This window comes from Homo sapiens, chromosome 1 (genome assembly GCF_000001405.40).
Source record: "Homo sapiens chromosome 1, GRCh38.p14 Primary Assembly".
In the NCBI taxonomy this organism is placed as follows: Eukaryota; Metazoa; Chordata; class Mammalia; order Primates; family Hominidae; genus Homo; species Homo sapiens.
Genome location: NC_000001.11, coordinates 49,491,183 through 49,518,266, shown reverse-complemented (window position 1 = coordinate 49,518,266; position 27,084 = coordinate 49,491,183). Strand labels below are relative to the sequence as shown.

The following is a 27,084-nucleotide window of genomic DNA, read 5'->3' as shown; positions in this document are numbered from 1 at the left end:
TCTCAGTATTTTTTATAGATAGGAAGGCCCTGGGTTTTCCCTGATATATTGGCCTCCAGACTGAATGAATGTAACCTAACTATGCTACACAGCCCCCCTGAACATCCTTATATCACAGCACTTATCACATTGTATGTTAATTATCTGTTCAGTTGTCTGGCTTCCCTTACAAACTGTGAATCTCTTGAGAGCAGCAGTGGATTCCCATTATACTTCAGTCTATGGACTGCATGTGGCAAATGATAGGCACCAAGTAGAATGAGTGAATGAATGAATGAACAAATAATATGATTCAGGGTACAATAGCAAAGGTAGGGAGATTATTGATAAAGGAACAGAATTTGTAACAGTGAATCATTAACATATTTAGTCTGATTCAATATTAGATTGGTAGGAAAGGTAGCAGCAGCAGTTTGCCATGGTACATTTACCTTTTAAAATAGTACATATATATTTATGGTTGTAAATGCTTCCAGAAATCATTAAAAGATTGTTATATTGAATATTTCTAATAAATTTGAGTCTCTATATTTTAATTTTTTGTAAAGAAGTACTTTGTACTTAAAGATAAACTCTATGTGGACTTTTCATCTAGTCTTAAGTATACTTGCCTCAGTTTTATTATCTGCAAAATGGAGGTAGTAGTGCTTTATTAAGTGAGACAGTACTTCTGAACGCTCCTAGCATAGTGCCTGGCTTATAGTATGAGTGTTACAAATGTTTATTGAATAAATGACCCTCATTCTCCTTTGTCTTCATGCTTCTCTGACCCTCATTCTTCTGTCACTGAACTCTTGATTCTTTCAGCAAAAACCTTGGGATGAGAAAAACAGTAAGACATTATGGTGGCAAGTGAAAATTCTTCTTTTATATATTATGTGCTGTGACCATGCTACTGATACTAGGAGAAATACCCATTTCTACCCTGGTAATACTGATTTTTTTTTTGTCCTCAACCTTCAAAGAGTTTTAGAATTCATATAAATTTCCCCTCTTGGAGTATGTTTTCCTTTAAGAATGGACTTTGGGTCTTGATACTAGATACATTAGTTCAATACTCTCATTGTCCTTGATTTGGACTTCTGCTTCTTCACAGTCCAAATTGCCCTTCATGCAAAGGTGAGCTTTGTGATACACACTTGAGGTGATGTGTAAATGCTTTCACTGGCTCAGCTGCCTTCCCCACCCAGCCTGGGTCACCTTCACAACATCGAGATTAGGTGTCCATGCACCATCATAAATAATACCTTGTATAGGAATAATGTAAACGGAATCTGTTGAAGTATGGCCTATTATATTTAAATTTATGTTTTGATTATCGTTTTTATTATATGAAACAAGCTTGAGCTTTATAAAATCATTCAGAAATGAGATTTGCATCACTTATAGGAATGTCTGTCTACTTGACATGTATGCCTAACAGAGTGAGAGTCATAGGAACATTTCTAAGGATATTACTTTTCCTCTCTGCTTTGAAAATCTAAATTGGATTACTTAACAAATAATTCTTTGAAACATCTCTAATGGTGTTATATGAAAGTCCTAGACACAGCACTTCCTCCATCCCCATGTCAGAAGAATCTTTATAAAATGCAAATCTAATCACATATCCTCTCCTGGTTTATTTCTCTTAATGGCAACCCATTACCCACCTCATATAAAAAACAGACTCCTTAGTTTGGCAAAGCCTTCAGTATCTGTCCCTGATTTCTTCTTTTCCTTTTCCCCACCTTGCCTCTTAAAACTTAACCTCAAATGTTATCCCACAGCAATGCTGTACATGCAATGATGTTTCTTTCCTCTGTTTCTTTGCTAAAATTGTTCTCTTTCTGTGGGAGACAGCACACCTCTTTTTTATCTACAAGTATTTCTTTAACATCTATTTATTTGGGCTCAGTTTAGTTGTTACCTTCTTTGGAGAACCTCCCTTGATCTTCCAGGCTGAATTAGTTGTCCCTCTTATGTGATCTCATGGCACCTTGGACTTTCCTTTATAACACCATTTGTGATGCTATAGTATAATTGCATGTGTATTTGCCTGTGTTCCCTATTATATTGTGAGATCCTTGGAGATAAGGACACTGTCATATCCATTTCTGTATCCCAGCATCAGGGCTAGAGCTAGCTCCTAATGAATCTTTGTGTGAGTTAGAAAAAAGTACCCCCTCCATTGGGCCAGTCATTTTTTTTTGTGGGGGGGGGCAGTCTTGATTCTTTTTTTTTTTTAAATTATACTTTAAGTTTTAGGGTACATGTGCACAACGTGCAGGTTAGTTACAGATGTATACATGTGCCATGTTGGTGTGCTGCACCCATTAACTCATCATTTAACATTAGGTATATCTCCTAATGCTATCCCTCCCCCCTCCCCCCACCCCACAACAGGCCCCGGTGTGTAATGTTCCCCTTCCTGTGTCCATGTGTTCTCATTGTTCAATTCCCACCTATGAGTGAGAATATGTGGTGTTTGGTTTTTTGTCCTTGCGGTAGTTTGCTGAGAATGATGGTTTCCAGCTTCATCCATGTCCCTACAGAGGACATGAACTCATCATTTTTCATGGCTGCATAGTATTCCATGGTGTATATGTGCCACATTTTCTTAATCCAGTCTATCATTGTTGGACATTTGGGTTGGTTCCAAGTCTTTGCTATTGTGAATAGTGCCACAATAAACATATGTGTGCATGTGTCTTTATAGCAGCATGATTTATAATCCTTTGGGTATATACCCAGTAATGGGATTGCTGGGTCAAATGGTATTTCTAGTTCTAGATCCCTGAGGAATCGCCACACTAACTTCCACAATTGTTGAATGAGTTTACAGTCCCACCAACAGTGTAAAAGTGTTCCTATTTCTCCACATCCTCTCCAGCACCTGTTGTTTCCTGACTTTTTAATGATGTCCATTCTAACTAGTGTGAGATGATATCTCATTGTGGTTTTGATTTGCATTTCTGTGATGGCCAGTGATGATGAGCATTTTTTCATGCGTCTTTTGGCTGCATAAATATCTTCTTTTGAGAAGTGTCTGTTCATATCCTTTGCCCACTTTTTGATAGGGTTGTTTGTTTTCTTCTTGTAAATTTCTTTGAGTTCATTGTAGATTCTGGATATTAGCCCTTTGTCAGATGAGTAGATTGCAAAAATCTTCTCCCATTCTGTAGGTTGCCTGTTCAGTCTGATGGTAATTTCTTTTGCTGTGCAGAAGCTCTTTAGTTTAATTAGATCCCATTTGTCAATTTTGTCTTTTGTTGCCATTGCTTTTGGTGTTTTAGACATGAAGTCCTTGCCCATGCCTGTGTCCTGAATGGTATTGCCTAGGTTTTCTTCTAGGGTTTTTATGGTTTCAGGTCTAACATTTAAGTCTTTAATCCATCTTGAATTAATTTTTGTATAAGGTGTAAGGAAGGGATCCAGTTTCAGCTTTCTACATATGGCTAGCCAGTTTTCCCAGCACCATTTATTAAATTGGGAATCGTTTCCCTATTGCTTGTTTTTGTCAGGTTTGTCAAAGATCAGATGGTTGTAGATATGCAGCATTATTTCTGAGGGCTCTGTTGTGTTCCATTGATCTATATCTCTGTTTTGGTACCAGTACCATGCTGTTTTGGTTACCGTAGCCTTGTAGTATAGTTTGAAGTCAGGTAGCGTGATGCCTCCAGCTTTGTTCTTTTGGCTTCGGATTGACTTGGTGATGCAGGCTCTTTTTTGGTTCCATATGAACTTTAAAGTAGTTTTTTCCAATTCTGTGAAGAAAGTCATTGGTAGCTTGATGGGGATGGCATTGAATCTATAAATTACCTTGGGCAGTATGGCCATTTTCACGATATTGATTCTTCCTACCCATGAGCATGGAATGTTCTTCCATTTGTCTCTATCCTCTTTTATTTCATTGAGCAGTGGTTTGTAGTTCTCCTCGAAGAGGTCCTTCACGTCCCTTGTAAGTTGGAAGCATTCCCTTTGAAAACTGGCACAAGATAGGGATGCCCTCTGTCACCACTCCTATTCAACACAGTGTTGGAAGTTCTGGCCAGGGCAATCAGGCAGGAGAAGGAAATAAAGGGTATTCAATTAGGAAAAGAGGAAGTCAAATTGTCCCTGTTTGCAGATGACATGATTGTTTATCTAGAAAACCCCATTGTCTCAGCCCAAAATCTCCTTAAGCTGATAAGCAACTTCAGCAAAGTCTCAGGATACAAAATCAATGTACAAAAATCACAAGCATTCTTATACACCAATAACAGACAAACAGAGAGCCAAATCATGAGTGAACTCCCATTCGCAATTGCTTCGAAGAGAATAAAATACCTAGGGGCCAGTCTTAGCCCATGAAATGGAGTCCTTGTGCAAGGAAGACCCTGCATAACTGTATATAGCAACCCTGCTTATGCCCACCACAGTGTCTGGCAAACAGCAACTGGTCAGGCCATTTTTGTTAACTGATTAATTTGTCAGTCAAGCAGTCAGTTGACCCAGCGCAGCAAGAAAAGTTGAAAAGCAATTGAAATAGTCATTTATAGTAACACCTGTAAATTAAGAAGAAAATATAAATCACTTACCATAAAGAAGACTGTTGAGTTGAAATATCTTTATCTGTAATGAAAGGAATGTTTCTGGGACAGGTCTTTCTATAAACATAGGAAAAGTTGTAAAAGTAGAAAACATTCACAATCAATCATCATGTCCTTTGAAGCAACATGAATGGAGCTGGAGGCCATAATCCTAAGCAAATTAATGCAGGAACAGAAAACCAAACATGTTCTCACTTATAAATTAGAGCTAAACACTGAGCACACACGAATAGAAATATGGGAACAACAGACACTATGGAATCCTAGAGGGTGGAGGGAGTGGGATAGGTTAAAAAACTACATATCAGGCAATACTACCATGGTGACAGGATCCATATTCCAAATCCCAGCATCATGCAATATTCCTATGTAACAAATCTGCACATGTACCCCCGTATCTAAAATAAAAGTTGGAAATTTTAAAAAGAAATAGCCACAGCAAAACATTATTAATTTGGATTAATATCGGAGGAGTCTGAATTTAAGGAGAAATATTCATTCTGGCATGGTATTTGGGAAATTCAGATTTATACTAGAAAGAACACTGAACTTGGAGTTTAAAGATAGAGGTTCATTTTCCAGTTCTGCCACATGGCAGAGGTTGAAGTGTGACTGCTGTTTGTCTGACATTAGTCATTTATCTTCTTCAAGTTTCTCTTTTCCCATTTGTAACATGGGGATAGTTATTCCTGGTCAGTCTATATAATAGAGTTTCTTCAAGAATAGGATAAAATGAGATAACAGAGGGAAAGTACTTGGGAATTTTTTACAAGATTTTTGAAAAGAGTACAACTTTTGGAGGAGAGTTAAATATATGTAGTTTTATTCTACTTTTTTTTTGGTCACTTTCTAGCTCTGTGATCTAGGGTGAGATTGTGTGCCCTGTGCCTCTGTTTTCTCATCAGTAATATCTGGAAAGAATTATATAATTAGTTGTGTTAGTCTGTTTGTGCATTGCTATAAAGAAATGCATGAGACTGGGTAATTAATAAGCAAAGGGGTTTAATTGGCTCATGGTTCTGCAGGCTGTACAAGAAGCATCATGGTATCTGCTTCTGGGTTTGGAGAGGGTGTCAGGAGGCTTCCAATCACGGCAGAAGGCAAAGAGGGAGCAGGTATGTCACATGGTGAAGTAGGAAAGAGGGGGGGTGGCAGGAAATGCCACAAACTTAACAAGATCTTGTAAGAATTTACTCACTATTGTGAGAAGAGCACCAAGCCATGAAGGATCTGCCCCCATGATCCAAATATCTCCTACCAGGCCCCACCTCCAACATTAGGGATTACAGTTCAGGAGTAATGTTTAATTTAATTATCTGAGCCAACCTATGAGGCAAGTATTAATATTTCAATTTTGTATTTGGAAAAAGCAGATGCTCAAATAGCTGGTTCAATATTTCATAGCTAATAAATATTGCAGGTAGGATTTAATCCTAGTTCCACTTTACTTTGAATCTCAGGCTCTTTCCACTATACCAACCCTCTTCTTACACATTTTAAGGGACATTTTCAATATAGAGCTTTTTATCTTCTCCAAGGCTGAAATGCAGAAATATTCCACCATCTGCTTTACCTTTTTTCTTACGTCTAAAGACACTTCTCGAATAGAATAAGAACTTTATTCAACAGTGTTTTGAATACCTACTATGTACATAGCACCCTGCAAACCAAGATATTTTACATATCCTATATCTCATTTAATTCTCATGATGATCCATGCAGAGGGCAAGCATCATTCCTTATTTACTGTTGAGGACTCAGAATGCTGGAATATAAGTGCATCTAGTTATCTTTCTGAAGTTACATTAACAGTAATGTTGGCACTTCTCAATTATCTGAAACTTTTAACTTTTCAAAACTAAAAAGGAGAGTCAACTGTCCATGTACAATGTTAAAAGAGAGGTCATTCTGTCCAACAGAATGAATCAGTAGCAGGTTTGTGATTGGAATCCAAGTCTTCTGACTTGGTATTTTCTCCCCACTGCATTTCATAGTCTTCTTCTCCCAAGAAGAAGGCAGATTATAAAACGCATTGGGGAGAAAATGCCAAGCTAAGGAGCTTCAATTTTTTTAAAAAAAAATTTTTTTTAATTATACTTTAAGTTTTAGGGTACATGTGCACATTGTGCAGGTTAGTTACATACATATACATGTGCCATGCTGGTGTGCTGCACCCACTAACTCGTCATCTAGCATTAGGTATATCTCCCAATGCTATCCCTCCCCCCTCCCCCCACCCCACAACAGTCCCCAGAGTGTGATGTTCCCCTTCCTGTGTCCATGTGATCTCATTGTTCAATTCCCACCTATGAGTGAGAATATGTAGTGTTTGGTTTTTTGTTCTTGCGATAGTTTACTGAGAATGATGATTTCCAATTTCATCCGTGTCCCTACAAAGGACATGAACTCATCATTTTTTATGGCTGCATAGTATTCCATGGTGTATATGTGCCACATTTTCTTAATCCAGTCTATCATTGTTGGACATTTGGCTTGGTTCCAAGTCTTTGCTATTGTGAATAATGCTGCAATAAACATACGTGTGTGTGTGTCTTTATAGCAGCATGATTTATAGTCCTTTGGGTATATACCCAGTAATGGGATGGCTGGGTAAAATGGTATTTCTAGTTCTAGATCCCTGAGGAATCCTAAGCCAAAAGAACAAAGCTGGAGGCATCACACTACCTGACTTCAAACTATACTACAAGGCTACAGTAACCAAAACAGCATGGTACTGGTACCAAAACAGAGATATAGATCAATGGAACAGAACAGAGCCCTCAGAAATAACGCCGCATATCTACAACTATCTGATCTTTGACAAACCTGAGAAAAACAAGCAATGGGGAAAGGATTCCCTATTTAATAAATGGTGCTGGGAAAACTGGCTAGCCATATGTAGAAAGCTGAAACTGGATCCCTTCCTTACACCTTATACAAAAATCAATTCAAGTTGGATTAAAGACTTAAACATTAGACCTAAAACCATAAAAACCCTAGAAGAAAACCTAGGCATTACCATTCAGGACATAGGCATGGGCAAGGACTTCATGTCCAAAACACCAAAAGCAATGGCAACCAAAGACAAAATTGACAAATGGGATCTAATTAAACTAAAGAGCTTCTGCACAGCAAAAGAAACTACCATCAGAGTGAACAGGCAACCTACAACATGGGAGAAAATTTTTGCAACCTACTCATCTGACAAAGGGCTAATATCCAGAATCTACAATGAACTCAAACAAATTTACAAGAAAAAAACAAACAACCCCATCAAAAAGTGGGCAAAGGACATGAACAGACACTTCTCAAAAGAAGACATTTATGCAGCCAAAAAACACATGAAAAAATGCTCACCATCACTGGCCATCAGAGAAATGCAAATCAAAACCACAATGAGGTACCATCTCACACCAGTTAGAATGGCAATCATTAAAAAGTCAGGAAACAACAGGTGCTGGAGAGGATGTGGAGAAATAGGAACACTTTTACACTGTTGGTGGGACTGTAAACTAGTTCAACCATTGTGGAAGTCAGGAGCTTCAATTTCTATTTATCATTATGGAGAGGAACTAGAGGATGATGCTATGGGGAGAATGTCCTGAGCTACTTACCCTCTTAATTATATTAAACATTCCTCCTGGATTCTTATTAACTCACAAAGCAAGCCTTGCCTTCACTGACAATGTACAATTAGCCTTTTGCTCATCCTTGAATAAAAGGCTGAATTGTCAGATTGAGATACAAGAGTTCAGTAGTTTTCTTCCTAAAGGAATAGCAGCAGCAGCACCTAATATTTAGTGTGTGTTCACTGTAAGCCAGGAATTCTAGTATTTCATATATATTAATGGACTTTATTTTTCCCACAACATTGTGGGAGGTAATATTGTTACCCCTATTTTATGGATGAGGAAACTAAGGGACAGAAAAATTTGGTAACTTGCTCCAAGGCCATAAAGGTTGTAAGCAGAAAAATTGAGATTCAATTTAAGGCAGTTTAGCTATGAATTCTAAGCTCTTAAACATTATGTAATATAATCTTTATCCATGTCATATTCCTGCTTAGAAACCTCCAATGACTCCCTATTTGGTTTTTAATTCAAAATGCAAACTTTTCACCTTGGTATTTAGAGGCCTCCCTGGTGTCCTTATTTCTAGCTGCATTTCTCACTACTCATTAGTTATAAAGAGTGGTCTTTGGAATAAGAGACACATGTTTTTATAACCCAGGTCTCCGATTAAATAGCTGTAAAAAATATTTGGCAAGATTATTTACCTTTCCAAGTATCTAAAAGTTGAGGAAAATAAAACACCTCCACAGGTAAATAAAATAATGCATGTAAATACTCAATACAGGCCCTGACATATGGAGACACTCAATATTACTTAAAAAATAATTGGTTATCCTCTGCTTAACCTAATCTGCCATACACTTTCCTATCTCTTTGCCTTTGTGTGTGTTTCCTCTCCACCTTGAATCTTCTCCTTGTATCTCTGGCTGCCAAAATCTAATCCGTCGTTCAAGCCTCTTTCAAGGGCAACCTCTCTAGGAAGCTTTCTTTGATCCTCCCTGCCCCCACCTCATCCTGAAGTGTCTTCTCCCATTTGAATACTAACACAGTTTGGTATGCCACACTTCAGGTATGTATTATAATATCATAGTTGGCTTTGTGTTTGGGGTGTTTGGGTATCTTATCCATGTTCCCTACTAGATGATAAGTACTTTAAGCAGGGATCATGTTTTTCTTCTCTGTATCATTCTCATGTCTTATTGGATGAATTGAGTTTGGGCATATGGTAATTGCTGTATTGAGTCATATCACAAATTTGAGATTGCCTGTAATCAATGCTATAATCCCCACAGTCAGGAGAAAAGAAGGAAACTATTAGCCATGCCTGATGCTTTATATACCTCATTTTTCTTAATGTTCACAATAATCATGTGAGATGGTCATGATTATTTTCATTTTACGGATGAAATTAAGAAACTTAGGTCTAAGAGGATAAGTAATTTGCCTAAGGTTGCATAGAAGGTTGCAGGGATTTAAACCCATGAATATCTAGCCAAACTAGGTCAGAGTTCCAAGCCAGCTCTAAACATATTACTTTTCTAAGAGACCTGGATGTCTCTCTCATTGTGGGTCAATAAAATTTATTTCTCTTCTGAACTTTTTGTCCTCTGCGTGGGCCCTCAGTCCATCACTTTCACAGTCAGAGCCTACTTTATTTTGGTTAATGAAATTTCACTATTAATTTTTCTACTATGGGCCACATTGAAGGTCAAAGATACTGGGTTTAAGCTGTTTTATTTCTAATTTTTAATGCTGGAACATAAGTGTATCTAGTTATCTTTCTGAAATTACATAACAGTAATGTTGGCACTTCTCATTTATCTGGAACTTTTAACTTTTCAAAAACCATCCTTTAATATTTTGTTTATCTTTGAAAAAGAGATTGGAGGATTGTAATAGATAATCTGTAAGGTAACTCTTAATTATGAGGTTCTGATGCTCTAACTTAACTTTACAGTCTATTTGTTAGTTAATAATTATACATGAAACTATTATGTATTAAAATATTGATTGTTTAATCTTGGATTAGTGTTTACACTAGAGTATAAACTTCATGAACTAGAGGCTATGTTTATTTTTGCTTACCATTGTATCCCCAGTACCTGCCCATAATAGGTACTCAGAAAATATTTGTTGATTGAACAATTATGTGAGATTGCAAATGCTATTATCAGTCTCATTTGATGTATTACTAAGTCAAAATCAAGAAGAAAAATGTCTTCCTTAAGAGCAACTTAAGCAAGTTGCTTAAGTTTCAGAGTGGTAGGACCACTCTGAAAATCATATTTCCCAGCTCTTGGGTTGTTTGCATAAACCAGTGAAGTAATAAAATTATGAATCCTTGTAATCTATCTCATATTTATTCTTAAAATCATTACTAGCTGTGAGAGTTATTAAATTCATACCTAATAATAAGACACTCCTTTTAAGAAATAAAATATTTAATGCAAGAACTTAAAAACATTTATCAATAATTATTTTTTCCTCCAAGAAGCACCCAAGTTCTCAATTGAATAACCTGCAGCTTCCAACTCTAGGTTTAGGAAAAATTTTATTTGAGTCTTGATGACTGGGGAAGGAGTAATTGAAAAGTGTTCAACTTCACACATTCACCAGAATAAAAAAAAAATTAAAAACTGAAAATACTGTTAGCAAGGATGCAAAACTATAGAACTATCACAGATTTCTAACAGGAGTGTAAGTTGGTAAATATATTAGCTTTTACTGTCTCTCATGAGTCTGTTCATGAGATTGACTAGGTTCAGCTGGACCGTTCTTTTGGTCCCAATTTGGCTCTCTCTTGTGGCTGTGGTAGTGTCTCAGATATAGCCAGGACTGGAATATCAATATGGTTCACCCATATGGCTGGTAATTGGTCCTAGCTAATGGTTGAGAAATAGGCTCAGCTGGGATGCTGGTATGGCTAAGATTCATTCTCTCTCCCAGTTGTCTCTGGGTTTCTCCCTCTTAATGTGGCTTTTCTATATGATCTCTCTAGCAGGATAGCTGGACTTTTTACAGGGTGGTTTAGGACACCCAAGAATGCAGAATGGAAGCTGCCACATCTTCTTGAGACAGGTCTTCAGCTGATTCAGCATCATTTCTGTTGCATTCTGTTAATTAAAAGGCCATTTCAGATCCAGCCCAAATTCAAAGGGAGAGGAGTACATAAGGGTGTGAATATGGGGAGGTATGGTTCATTGGGAACCATCAATGAAATACACCAGAGATTGGCACACTATAGCCCTCAGGTCCAGCCCAGCTTATCTGTTTTTGTATGGCCTGTGAATAAAAATGTTTTTATAGATGGGCTTTGCAACCAATTTGCTGATAGGCAACATTGACTTTGATTCCCCAATTAAGTAAACTATTATTTCCCACCATATTCCATTCTTTTAATTACTAGAAATGTGTATTAGTCCACTCTTACACAGGTAATAAAGACATACCCAAGACTGGGTAATTTATAAAGAAAAGAGGTTTAATTGACTCAGTTCCACATGGCTGTGGATGCCTCAGAATCATGGCAGAAGGCAAAGGAGGAGTAAAGTCATGTCTTACATACTGGTAGGCAAAAAGAGCATATTCAGGGGAACTCCCCTTTATAAAACCAACAGATCTCATGAGACTGATTCACTATCATGAGAACAGCACAAGAAAGACCCACCCCCATGATTCAAGTACCGCCCACTGGGTCCCTCCCACAACATGTGGGAATTACAAGAGCTACAATTCAAGATGAGGCTCAGGTGGGGACATAGCCAAACCATATCAACATGTATTAACAAAAACAAAAGTTAATTTGCTATTATTATATGTTACATTTTTCTAATAAAAATTTGTGTAAAAGATTTTGTGAAAAATTTTTGTAAAATTTTTTTCTTTCTTGTTATATCAGTACCTAAATAACATCCTTGGTTTGCTGCCTAGCCCAGAAAGCTTAAAATATGTGCTATATAGCCCTTTATACAAAAAGTTCGCTGACCCCTCTAATAGATGTTACACATACACTAAATCAGCTTTTTCTTATTGTTTCCCTGAGAGAGATACAATATTATCCCAATTTTTAGATAAGGAAATGAGGATCAATTGAAAAATACAATGAGTGAAATGAAAAATGCAATAGAGAGTATCAACACCAGAAATGATCAATTAGAAGAATCTGTAAACCTGAAGACAGATTATTTGAAAATATATAGAGGAGAAAAAAGAAAAAGGAAAGTTTACGGGAATTATAGAACAGCTTCAACAGAGCAAATGTACATGGTATAGGAATTAAGAAGAGAGAGACTAAAGGATAGAAAGCTTATTTAAAGAAATAATAACAGAAAATATTCCAAATCCAGGGAAAGATGTATATATATCCAGATACAGAAAAGAAAAAAGTCTACAAGCAGACTCAATCCAAACAAGACTACATCAAGACATATTAAATCAGACTGTGAAAAATCAAAGACAAAAGAGAATCCTGAAAACAGCAAGAGAAAAGAAGCAAATCACATGGAAGAGAGTTCCAGGGAAGGGAGTTCCAGTAATGCTAGAGGCAGAAACTCTACATACCAGAAAAGAGTAGGATGATATATTCAAAGGTCTGAAGGACAAAAAAACCTGACAGCTAAAACTAATGAACCTGACAAAGCTATCCTTCAGAAATGAAAGAGAGATAAACACTTTCCTAGACAAACAACAGCTGAGGGAGTTCACTGTCACCAGACTTGTAAGAAATGCTAAAGGGAGTTCTTAAAGTTGAAAAAAAAAAGACACTAATTAGTGACACAAAAACATATGAGAATATAAAACTCACTGGTTAAAGTAACTTCACAATCAAATTCAGAATACTAAAATACTGTAATAGTGGTTTCTAAGTCACTTATATCTTTAGGATTAAGGTTAAAAGACAAAACTAGTAAAAACAATAGCTACAATACTTTTTAAGGGATATATATTATAAAAAGATGTAAAGTGTGAAATCAAAAACATAAAATGGGAGTTGGAGTGAAAGTGTAGTTATTTCATGTGACTAGAGTTAAATTATCAGCCTAAAATAGCCTGTTATTACTGTATAACATTTTATGTAAGCCTCATAGTAACCAGAAAGCAAAAACCTATAGTAGGTACACAAAAGATAAAAAAGCAAAGAATCAAAGCATACCACTACAGAAAATCATTTAATCACAGGGAAGACAGTAAGAGAGAAATAAAGAAACAAAGGATCTAAAAAATAATAATAATAAAACAACAAAAATGGTGGTAGTAAGTCCTTACCTATCAATAATTACCTTGAATGTAAATGGATTAGATTCTCCAATCAAAAGCCATAGCATGCTGGAATAGATAAATGAAAGCAAGACCCAAGTATATTCTGCCTATAAGAGATTCACCTCACATTAAGGACACAGATACACTGAAAGTGAAGGGATGAAAAAAGATATGCCATGCAAATGGAAACCAAAAGAGAGTAAGGGTAGCTGTATTTTTAATCATATAAAATAGACTTTAAGTTCAAAACTATAAAAATAGACAAAGAAGACATTATGTAATGAGAGAGGGGTAAACTCATCAAGTGAATATAACAATTGTAAATATATATGCACCCCAAAATTGGAGCATCTAAATAAATATAGCAAATATTACTAGATCTGAAGGGAGATATAAATTGATCACACTTTCAGCAGTGGACAAATCATCATCCAGAGAAAAAATTAATATGAAAACATTGGAATAAAACTATACTTAAGATCAAATGTGTGTAACAGACTATTAGTCCATTCTCACACTGCTGTGGAGAAATACCTCTGAGACTGGGTAATTTAGAAAGGAAAGAGGTTTAATTGACTCACAGTTCTGCATTACTGGGGAGGCCTCAGAAAACTTACAATCATGGCAGAAGGCGAAGAAGAAGGCTCCTTCTACATAGGGTGAAAGGACGAAGTGAGTGCAAGCAGGAGAGATGCCAATGATTATAAAACTATCAGCTCTCATGAGACACACTCACTATCACCAGAACAGCATGGGGGAAACCGCCCCCATAATTCAATTATCTCCACCTTGTCCCACCCTTGATTTGTGGGGATTATGAGAATTACAATTCATTTGTAATGAGACTTTGAGTGGGGACACAGACAAATCATATCATTTTGTCCCAGCCCTTCCCAAATCTCATGTCCTCATGTTTCAAAACACAATCATGCCTTTCCAACAGTCTACCAAAGTCTTCATGCATTCCAGCATTAAACCAAAAGTCCAAGTCCAAAGTCTCATCTGAGACAAGGTAAGTCCCTTCCAATTATGAGCCACCAAAAGCAAATTAGGTACTTCCTAAGTACAATGGGGGTACAGGCATTAGGTAAATATACCCACTCCAAATGAGAGAAATTGGCCTAAACAAAAGGGCCATAGGCCCCATGCAAGTCCAAAATACAATAGGGCAGTAAGTAAACCTTAAAGCTCCAAAATGATCTTCTTTGACTCCATGTCTCACATCCAGGTCACCTGATTCAAGAGGTGGGCTCCCACAGCTTTGGGCAGCTCTGCCCCTGTGGCTTTGCAGGGTACAGCATCCATCCTGGCTGCTTTCACAGACTGGTGTTGAGTACCTGTGGCTTTTCCAGGTGCACAGAGCAAGCTGTCAATGGATCTACCATTGTGGGGTCCAGAGGACAGTGGCCACCTTCTCACAGTTCCACTAGGCAGTGCCCCATTGAGGACTCTGTGTGGGGGCTCCAACCCCATATTTCCCTTCTGCACTGCCCTAGCAGTAGTTCTTCATGAGGGCTCTGCCCCTGAAGCACACCTTTGCCTGGACATCCAGGTGTTTGCATACATCCTCTGAAATCTAGGTGAAGGTTCCCAAACCTCAGTTCTTGTATTCTGTGGACCCACAGGAAAAACACCACATGGAAGTTACTAAGGCTGGGGGCTTGTACCCTCTGAAGATACAGCCTGGACTGTACCTTGGCCTCCTTTAGCCATGGCTGGAGTGGCTGGGACACAGGGCACCAAGTCCCAAGGCTGCACACAGCAAAGGGGCCCTGGAACCAGCCCAAGACACCATTTTTTCCCTCCTTGGCCCCTGGGTCTGTGATGGTAGGGGCCCTCAGGAAGGTCTGTGACATGCCCTGGAAGCATTTTTCCCATTGTCTTGCTGATTAATATTTGGCTCATCATTACTCATGCAAATTTCTGCAGCCAGCTTGAATTTCACTCCAGAAAATGGTTTTTATTTTCAATAGCATTGTCAGGCTGCAAATTTTCCAAATTTTTATGCTCTGTCACCTCTTGAGTGCTTTGCTGCTTAGAAATTTCTTCCACCAGATATCCTAAATCATCTCTCCTAAGTTCAAAGTTCCACAGATTCTCTAGGGCAGGGGTAAAATACCATCAGTCTCTTTACTAAAGCATAGCAAGAGTCACCTTTATTCCTCTTCCCAATTACTTCCTCATCTCCACCTGAATCCACATCAGTCTGGACTTCATTGTCCATATTTCTATCAGCATTTTCATTAAAACCATTCAACAATTCTCTAGGAAGTTCCAAACTTTTCCACATCATTTTTTCTTCTTAGCCCTCCAAGTCTCTAGGAAGTTTCAAAATTTCCCCCAATTTTTTGTCTTCTGAGCCCTCCAAACTCTTTCAACTTCTGCCTGTTTTTGAGTTCCAAAATCACTTCCACATTTTCAGATATCTTTACAGCAGCACCCCACTTCTGGTAGCAAAATCTGTATTTGTGAGGGTTCTCTAGAAGGGCAGAACTAATAGGATAGATGAATATATGAAGAGGAGTTTATTAAGGAGTACTGACTCACACAATCACAATGTGAACTACCACAATAGACTCTCTGCAAGCTGAGGAGAAAGGAAGCCAGTCCAAGTCCCAAAACCTCAAAAGTAGGAAAGCCAACAGTGCAGCCTCCAGTCTGTGGCCAAAGGCCAACACCCTCACAGACACAACTAGAAACTTTGCTTCCTTCAATCCAATCAAGTTGACAGCTAATATTAACCATTACACAGATGTAAAGAGAACATCCCACCCAACAGCAGCAGAACACATATTCTTCTCAAAATGACACAAAATATTCTTCAGGATATATAATATGTGAGGTTACAAAACAAGTCTTAACAAATTTAAGAAGATTGAAATTATGTCAAGTATCTTTTCTGACCACAATGGTATGAAACTGGATGTCAATAACAGGAGAAATTTTGGAAAATTGACAAATACATGGAAAATAAACAATATGCTGCTTAACAAGCAATGATTCAATAAAGAAATTAAAAGAGACATTAAACTATATCTTGAGACAAATAAAAATGAAAACTCAACATATCAAAATTTATGGGAATGTAGCAAAAGCAGTTCTGAGAGAAGTTTATAGTAATAAAATTCTACATTAAAAAATAAGAAAAATCTCAAATAAACACCTAATATTACACCTCAAGGAACTAGAAAAGGAAGGAAATAATAAAGATAAAAATATAAATAAGTGAAACACAGACTAGAAAAAATAATAAATCAATGAAACTGAGTTGGTTTTTTGAAAAGATAAATAAAAATGGACAAATCTTCAGGTAGACTAAGAAAAAAAGGGAGAAGACTCAAATAAAATTATAAATGAAAGAAAAGACATTACCACTGATACCACAGAAATGCAGAGGATCACAAAAGACTGTTATTGGCAGGAGGAAGATGGCAGATAGGAGACAGGACTAACGTGTAGCTCCAACTTGGATGGACAGAACAGCGTGTGGAGACTCACCTTGTGAGCCTTCACTCCAATAACCACCAGCCAGAGCAAAGGAAATTCTTTTGGAGTAAAACCATAATTCTTTCAGGAACATACCAGGAAAACCAAAAGGATTCAGAGATCATTTGAAAGAACTCATTGAAAGAGTTTGCTGCTGCAAAATCAGTAACACTGCTATACCCCAACAGTGACCAAGTTGAGAATCAAATGAAGAACTCAACCCCTTTTAGAACCATGACATAAAACAAAAACAAAAACAAAAAATACACTTAGCAATATACCTAATCAAGAAGGTGAAAGATCTCTACAAGGAAAACTACAAAACACTGCTGAAAGAAATTATAGACTATACAAACAAATACATTTCATGCTCGTGGATGGATAGAATTAATATTGTGAAAATGATCATACTGGCAAAAGCAGTGTGCAAATTCAGTGCACCTTTCATCAAAATACCATCATCATTTTTACAGAACTAGATAACTGAATCCTAAAATTCATATGGAATTAAAAACAGCCCGCTTTTCCAAAGGAAGACTAAGCAAAAAGAACAAATCTGGTGGCATCACATTATTCTACTTCAAACTATACCTCAAGGCAATAGTTACCAAAACAGCATGGTACTGGTATAAAAACAGGCATATAGACCAATGGAACAGAATAGAGAACCCAGAAATAAAACAAATACTTATAGTCAACTGATCTTTGACAAAGTGAATAAAAACATAAAGTGGGGAAAGGACATTCTATTCAACAAAGGGTTCTAGGATAATTGTCAAGACACGTGTAGAAGAATAAAAGTTGATCCTCGTCTCTCACCTTATACAAAAACCAACTCAAGGTGAGTCAAAAACTTAAATCTAAGATGTGAAACTATAAAAATTCTAGAAGATAACATCAGAAAAATTCTTCTTGACATTGGCTTAGGCAGAGTTCATGAACAAAAACCCAAAAGCAAATGCAAAAAAAAAAAAGATAAATAGATGGGACCTAATTAAACTAAAAATAAAAAGCTTCTGCACAGCAAAATAAATAATCAGCAGAGTAAAGACAACCCACAGAGTGGCAGAAAATGTTTGCAAACTATGCATCCAACAAAGGACTAATATCCAGAATCTACAAGGAACTCAAACAAATCAGCAAGAAGAAAACAAATAATCCCATCAAAAAGTGGGCTAAGGACATGAATAGACAATTCTCAAAAGAAGATATACAAATGGCTAACAAACATATGAAAAAATGCTCACCATCACTAATAATCAGGAAAATGCTAATTAAAACCACAATGCAATACCAAGTTACTCCTGCAAACATAGCCATAATTTAAAAAATCAAAAAATAATAGATGTTGACGTGGATGTGGTGAAAAGGGAACACTTTTACATTGCCATTGGGAATGTAAACTAGTACAATCAGTATGGAAAACAGTGTGGGGATTCTTTAAAGAATGAAAAGTAGATCTACCATTTCATCCAGCAATCCCACTACTGGGTTACCTACCCAGAGGAGTCACTATATGATAGACACTTGCACATGCATGTTTACAGCAGCACAATTCTCAATTGCCAAAATATGTAACCAGCCTAAATGCCCATCAACAAACAAGGATAAAAAAATGTGATATGTGCATATGTGTGTATATATATATATATATATATGAATACCATTCAGCCATGAAAAGGAACAAAATGATGGCATTCACAACAACTTGTATGGAATTGGAGACCATTATTCTAAGTGAAGTAACTAAATAATGGAAAACCAGATATCATATGTTCTCACTTATAAGTGGGAACTAAGGTATGAGGAAACAAAAGCATAAGAATGATGTAATGGACTCTGGGGACTTGGGGGGAGGCTGGAAGGGGGTGAGTGATAAAAGACTTCACTTTGGGTGCCACGTACACTTCTTGGGTGGTGGGTGCACCAACATTTTAGAAATCACCATTAAGGAACTTATTCTTGTAACCATACACCACTTGTTCCCCAAAAACTATTGAAATAATAATAATAATAAAAGGATTTTATTTGTAATTATATACCAACAAATTGGATAACTTAGGAGAAATGGATAAATTCTTAAGACACATAAAACCTACCAAGAATGAATCATGAAGAAATAGAAAATCTGAACACACAAATGTTGAGAAAGGAGATTGAAGGAGTAATAGAAAGTGTCCCATAAAAGAAAACCCATCTCTTGATGGTCTTATTGCTGATTCTACCACATTTAAAGAAGAATTAATATCAATTTTTTAAGGACTCCCAAAAAATTGAAGAAGAGGGAATAGTTCCATACTCATTTTACAAGGCCAGGACAACCCTGAAACCAAAGCCATACAAGGACACTGTCAGAGAAGAAAATTAGAGGCCAATATCCTCGATGAACATAGGTGTAAAAATTTTCAACAAAATGTTAGCAACCTAAATTCAATAGCACATGAAAGTTATCATTACCCATGATCAAGTAGGATTTATCCCTGGAATGTAAGGATGGTTCAACATAATTTAAATGTATAAACGTGATGTACAACAATACCACATTAACTGAATGAAGGATAGTAGTTGAAGAAAAGGCATCTGACAAAGTTCAATGTATTTTCATGATAAACACCATCAACAAGTTAGGTATAAGAGGAATGTACTTCAATACAGTAAAGGCCATATATGACCAATGCACCTCTATCATCATGCTCAACCCTGAATAATTGAAAGCTTTTTTTTTCTAAGAACAGGAACAACATTACACATAGGAGTCAGATTATGCAGTATTTTTTTTCCCTGTGCCTGGATTATTTCACTTAGCAAAATGTCCTCCAACTCTGTAGTATATATACACAACGGAATATTATATTAGCCTTTAAAAAGATAATTCTGTAATTTGTGACAACCTGGATGGACCTGGAGGACATTATGCTAAGTGAAATAATCCAGGCACAGAAAGACAAATACTGCATAATCTCACTCTTGCCTCTTCTATTCAACATAGTACTGGAAGTCCAAGCAATTAGGCAAGAGAAAGAAATAAAGGACATTCATATAGGAAAGGGAGAAGCTAAATTGTTTTTGTGTGTAGATAACACAGTCTACAAACATGATAAAGAGTCTAACAAAAAACTGTGAGGTCTGATAAACAAATTCAGTAGAGTTGCAGGATACAACGTCAATATGCAATTATCAGTAGTTTCTACACACTTACTAATGAACTATCCAAAAAATAAATCAAGAAACAATCTCTTTTACAACATCTACAAAAAAGAAAATGAAATACTTAAGAATAAATTTAACCAAGGAAATGAAAGGCCTGTACACTGAAAATTACAAAACACTGACAAAAGAAATTGAGGAAAATACAAATAGATGGTAAGACATACCGTGTTCATAAATTGGAATATTGTTAAAAATGTCCATATTACCCCAGATGAAAAGCAGATTCAATGTAGTTTATATAAAAATTCTAATGACATTTTACACAGAAATTGAAAAAACAAATTTTAAAATTCATGTGGGACTACAGAAGACTTGAAATAGCCAAAACAACCTTGAGCAAAAAGAACAGCTGGGGGCATCACACTACATGATTTTAAAATGTGTTATAGTAATGAAAACAGCATGGCACTGGCATGGAAATAGACACATTGACCAAGAAAATAGAGAGTGAACCCAGAAATAAACCCACATATCTATGGTCAATTTATTTTCAACGAACGTGCCCAAAACACACAGTGAGTAAAGGACAGTCTCTTCAATAAATGGTATTGGGAAAACTGGATATCCACATATAGAAGAATGAAAATAGACTTTATCTCACATCATGTACAAAAATAAACTCAAAATGAATTAGAAACTTAAATATACGACTTGAAATTTTAAAGCTGCTAGAAGAAAATATAGGGGAAAAGCTTCATGACACTGGTTTTATGACTGGCTCCATGTCTGGGCAAGGATTTTTTGGATATGACCCCAAAACACAGGCATCAAAATTGAAAATAAACAAATGTAATTACGTCAAAATTAAAAGCTTCAGCACTGCAAAGAAAACAATCAATAAAGTGAAGAGACAACCTATGGAATGGGAGAAAATATCTTCAACCTTTACATCTGATAAGGGGTTAATATTCAAAATATGTAAGGAACTCAATAGCAAGAAAACAAATAACCCTATTTTTAAAAATGGGCAAAGGTACTATTAGACATTTCTCAAAAGAAGACATACAAATGGCCAACAGGCATATAAAAAATGTTCAACCTCACTAAAAATTGGGGACATGCATATTAAAACCACAATGAAATATCACCTTACACCTGTTGGAGTGACTATTACCACAAAGACAAAAGATGACAGGTGGTGGCAACCATGATATGGAGAAAAGGGAACATTTGCATACTGTTGGTGGGAATGTATGATAGTATGGCCATTATTGAAAACAGTAAGAATGTTTCTCAAAAAATTAAAACTAGAATTACTATATGATCCAGCAATCCAACTACTGGGTATATATCCAAAGGAAATGAAATCAACATGTTGGGGAGATATCTGCACTCCCATATTTACTGCAGCATTTTTCACAATATTCAAGATATAGAATCAACATAAGTATCTATCAGCCGATGAATGAATAAAGAAAATGTGGTATACATACACAATGGAATACTATTCAGCCTTAAAAAAGGAAATCCTGTCATTTGTGACAAGATGGATGGACCTTGAGGACATAATGCTAAGTGAAATAATACAGGCACAGAAAGACAAATACTGCATAATATTACTTCTATGTGGAATCTAAAAAAAATTCAACTCATAGAAGTGAAGGTTAGTATAGTGGTTACTAGGGGCTTGGGTGGGGTGGGGTGGGGTGGGTGAGATGTTGGTGAAAGGATACAAAATTTCGGTTAGGAGGAATAAATTCAAGAGATTTATTGTGCAACATGGTGACTATTGTTAATAACAATGTATTGTATTCTTTAAAATCACTGAGTAGATTTTAAGTGTTCTCACCACAAAAATAAGTACGTGAGGCTTTGTATGTTAATTAGCTCACTTTAGCCATTCCACAATGTATACATATTTCAAAAAATCATATTATGCATGATAATTGTATACAATATTTTTGCCAATTAAAATAAATAATTGAAAAAAAAGACTCCATTTTAAATGGCTGCCAAGTAGCAGAGCTAGTAATCTCTTAGGACTGACTTAGTTTGATGTGTATGCTTGTAATTTTGTGCTCCACCACACTGCCTTCTTTGTGATATATCTTAAGGATCTCATTGGAATAGCCCATTCAATCTTCTGAGTCTTGGCCTTGCCTGCAGTCTTTATCCTGTGTACAGGTGTCTGTGGGAGGCACAGGCCCTGTTTTATCCACACTAATTCTTCCCTCCAGTGAAATTCAGTGTCTTTTTCTATCCCTCTATGTCCATACCCTATAATGTAGACCATTTTACAGATGAATAAATTAAGGATAGAGAATTCCAATGGCTTCCCAAGATCTCATAGTTTTTCTAATGGGAAAGTTCAGGAAAAGTAGTCTGATCAGATTTGCCTCTGATTCCTTGTGGGCATTCCAACTTACTCCCCAAAATGTGAACATTTTTGATCCTTAATTTCTTTATTTATGAAGTACTAATAATACCTCCCCTTTTTTTAAATCAATGTGAAGATAAAAGGAAAAAGTTTATATGAAAAGCATTTAAAAACCATTAAGACCCCTATTATTGTACATTGTTGTCATGATTTTTACTATTGTTATTGTTATTTCTGGAAATTTTTATACTTTATCACTAATCAAAATAGTCACATCAGGTTCTCCAAACCTGGTTTTTTTTTTTGTTCCTTCTGAAATCAAAAATCCACACATGAGGCAGAGACGAACATGGTCTGTGCTAACATTCATGCTTTAAGACAGGGCTGTCTAATCTTTTGGATTCCCTGGGCCATGTTGGAAGGATAATTGTCTTGGGCCACACATACAATATGCTAACACTAACAAGAGCTGATGAGCTATAAGAAAAATAGCAAAAAACTCATAATGTTTTAAGAAAGTTTACAAATTTGTATTGGGCCACATTCAGGGCCACTGTGAGCCACATGCGGCCCACGGGCCACAGGTTGGACAAGCTAGTTGTAAGATATTAGTGTTGAAAGATCAGCACAGGATTTCTTTTTGTTAGATAAAATTTTATATGATTCCAGGTACCATGTGCACCAATGCAATCCTATAATTAGACGTTAGTGTACTAAAACGTATATTCTCTCCATCTCCATATTCCTCCCATTTGCAGATGTAATTGGCTTCTGAGAATGTGGATATTGAGGAGACAATAGAACTCTAATTAAGTAAATAAATTTAACTGCTTAAAAATTATATTTTAATAAGACAATTCATACCACAAAAAATGACAATTAAAGTATATTAAAATTGTACTAAAAGTCAGGAAACAGGTGCTGGAGAGGATGTGGAGAAATAGGAACACTTTTACACTGTTGGTGGGACTGTAAACTAGTTCAACCATTGGGGAAGTCAGTGTGGCGATTCCTCAGGGATCTAGAACTAGAAATACCATTTGACCCAGCCATCTCATTACTGGGTATATACCCAAAGGACTATAAATCATGCTGCTATAAAGACACATGCACACGTATGTTTATGGCGGCATTATTCACAATAGCAAAGACTTGGAACCAACCCAAATGTCTAACAGTATTAGACTGGATTAAGAAAATGTGGCACATATACACCATGGAATACTATGCAGCCATAAAAAATGATGAGTTCATGTCCTTTGTAGGGACATGGATGAAATTGGAAATCATCATTCTCAGTAAACTATCGCAAGAACAAAAAACCAAACACCACATATTCTCACTCATAGGTGGGAATTGAACAATGAGAACACATGGACATAGGAAGGGGAACATCACACTCTGGGGACGTTGTGGGGTGCGGGGAGAGGGGAGGGATAGCATTGGGAGATATACCTAATGCTAGATGACGAGTTAGTGGGTGCAGCGCACCAGCATGTCACATGTATACATATGTAACTAACCTGCACATTGTGCACATGTACCCTAAAACTTAAAGTATAATAAAAAAAAAAACTCAAGGCAAAGATATTCACCATATTAATGATGAAGCCAAGAACAGACCCACAGAGTCAAAAGTCATAGCTCATATACCCTATTGTGTTTCTTACCACTGGGGGTTTAATGTGGGCTTCAGTGAATTTAATTGTTAAGACTGGGTAAGGGTTATGAGAAAATTAACTCCCTTAATTAAAATATACCCTAAACTGTCCTGTAAGAACTGAGGTTAGAACAGAGTAAGCTCTAGAGGGAAGGGAGCAGGGCTAGACTGGTGACCCTGTTTTCGAAAGTCTTATCTTTACCTTTCCAGTCCCTTCCTCTGATCTTTGCTGCCATCAGAGGGATGTTGTTACTCCCACACCTTTTAAAATGCCAGTGGTAGCATGTATACAAACCCCTTTCCTTGGATCTTTAAAAAAGAGATATGGCAGCCTAACACTTTCTAAATAAACTCTATTTACTTACTAGAGAGAACAATTTATTTAATTTTAAAAAATAGGATTTATTTTTTGTCAAAATGATACAAAAACAATTCAAAACTCATGAAGACATGTCCCAGTGACTAAGATTTGGGAAGCACATTGGTTTGACTACAAGTTCTTATGAGAAGGGACCCCAGCCCACATTTCAGTTTCCTCTCACATGGTTCTCTCCTTCTCTTGGGTTCCTGTTACCCTGGCCTTCTTACTTCCTGGAATGTGTCCTGCTGCCTTTTGACTTGGGGAATTGTGTATGTTGTTCCTTCTACCTGAAAAGCTTTCTCACTACTCCTGTAAACATACCTTTTGTCTGTTGTCCCACTCATCTTTCAGATGTCAGTGAAATGGCACTTTCTGGCAGAATCCTGGCTATACATTATAAATATTGTAATAATAACTACTTCAAAGAATTGCAGTGAACATTAATGTATATAAAGTTTTTAGTTTTTAGTATAAAGCCTGTTGCTTAGTAAGTGCTCAATAAAAATTATCTGCTCTTGTTTCTGACAGAACCCTGGCTCCATATTCTAAGTATTATAATAACTATTTCAAGGAATTGTAGTAAGCATTAACATATACAAAGTGCTTAGTATAAAGCCTGATACTTAGTAAGTGCTTGATATTGTTTGCCTGTGTCCCCACCCAAATCTCATCCTGAATTGTAGTTTCCATAATCCCCATGTGTCATGGGAAGGACCCAGTGGGAGGCAATTTAATCATGGGGACAGTTACCTCCATGCTGTTCTCCTAATAGTGAGTTCTCATGAGATCGGATGGTGTTATAAGGGGCTTTTTCTCTTTTGCTTGGCACTTCTTCTTGCTGCTGCCATGTGAAGAAGGACATGTTTGCTTCCCCTTCCACCATGATTGTGAGTTTCCTGAGGCCTACCCAGTCATGCTCAATTGTGAGTCATTTAAACCTCTTTCCTTTATCAATTACCCAGTCTTGGGTATGTCTTTATTAGCAGCATGAGAACAGACTAATACAGTGCTCAGTAAAGGTTATCTGCTCTTCTAACCTTCCATGACACCAGGGCTCTGCTGTTTCTTTCCACAGTTCATTCATAACTAATTGGCCGGGAAATAGAGATGAAAAGCTCCTGGATCCCATGAGGGATGAAGGCCTGTCTTAATAGCTGTACTTACATGGGGAAGCTTCCATATTCTACCCACTTATCACTCATACAAATATGGTCTTGAAATCTGATAGTCCTATTAATACAGTGACCAAACCTATATGTGGTAAAAAGGAACACAGATGCAATCACAATAAAGTCCTTTGGTGAATTTCGGAACTGTTTTGATTAGAAAGCAATACAGTAGTCCCCCCTTATCAACAGTTTTGCTTTTCACAGTTTCAGTTACCCACAGTCAAGTGGGGTTTAGAAATATTAAGTGGAAAATTTCAAAAGTAAACAATTCATAAGTTTTAAATTTCAAGCTGTTCTGAATAGCTGCCCCTCATCTGTCCTGCCCAGAACATCAATCAGCCCATTTTTCCAGCATATTCACACTATATACACAACCTGTCTGTTAATCATTGACATTGTCTGCTCCAAACATTCAACCATCAATATTGCTATGGCTCTATGATCCAGGATCACCCAAAGCAGATGATCCTCCTTCTGACATGTTATCAGAAGGTCAATAATAGCCTAATGTTATGTCATAATGCCTATGCCACTTACCTCACCTAATCTCATTAGGTAGGCATGTATCATCTCACATCATAACAAGAAATGTGAGAGCAGTACAATAAAGTATTTTGAGGGAGAGAGAGAGACCACATTCACATCACTTTCATTACAGTTTATTATAATTATTCTATTTTATTATTAGTTATTGCTGTTAATCTCAAACTGTGCCTAATTTATAATTTAAACTTTATGAAAGATATGTATGTATTGGGAAAACATAATATATACAGGGTTTTCTACTGTCTGTGGTTTCAGGCATCCACTGGGGGTTTTGGAACATATTCCCTGAAGATAAGAGGAGACTACTATATTGCATTTTGGAAAGAACATGAGCTTTGACATCAGACAGATCTGAATTTTAATCCTGACTGTCCCACATATAAGTTGCTCAGATAAATGGCAGCTGCTGCTGTTGTAGCAAATTTACTTTAACAAGAGAGTCAACTAACTTGATTAAGCCAGCCTTTTCTGAGAAGGTTTCACCAGTATTTCATTAAACTTTGGCTTCCATCTAGTTCTTTGCATATACCCACAGTCTCCTGAGTAATTTTTGAATCATGGTAATTCCTTTTGGAAAAGATAAATGACTTAAACTTTTTATGTGTCAAGAACTAAGGTCAAATGTGGCATTTCAAAGTCAATGCAGCTTTCTAGGTGCTTAAAGTCTTATGCCATTTTTTTCTTTCTTTTGAGGAGGGGGAGAAGATACGCATTTTAAAACAAACTCTTATTTTCTCCCTAGTACTCTCCCTTTGCACCATTTGGTACTTTAATATGGGTAGGCTAGAAGGGTGACCTATTCACTTTCAGAACTTTGGTTATAATTAGGATAGATTTATCTGCAGGAAAGGCCTAAAACAATCTGATGTGGGAGGTACTTGTAAAGCAGTTGAAGCTAATGTTACTGTGTGCCCTTTGGGATTGTAAAACAGA

At 36.7% G+C, this 27,084-nt stretch overlaps 1 protein-coding gene and 1 long non-coding RNA gene across 12 annotated transcripts in view; one reads left to right on the top strand and one right to left on the bottom strand.

Moving 5' to 3' along the window:
- The window catches only part of AGBL4 (AGBL carboxypeptidase 4), a 1,501,444-nt gene that overhangs the window by 505,688 nt on the left and 968,672 nt on the right, over positions 1–27,084 (top strand). The gene's annotated exons all lie outside the window — the stretch shown is intronic.
- LOC107984954 (uncharacterized) lies at positions 706–26,064 on the bottom strand. Of its 2 annotated transcripts, XR_001738043.2 has the most exons (3): positions 25,981–26,048; positions 4,560–4,593; positions 3,995–4,026 (listed from the first exon to the last, which is right to left on the bottom strand). It is a non-coding gene; the product is annotated as an uncharacterized LOC107984954 (long non-coding RNA). The 2 variants fall into 2 exon arrangements; XR_007066075.1 differs by lacking the exons at positions 3,995–4,026; positions 4,560–4,593 and adding an exon at positions 706–814 and having other exon boundaries at positions 25,981–26,064.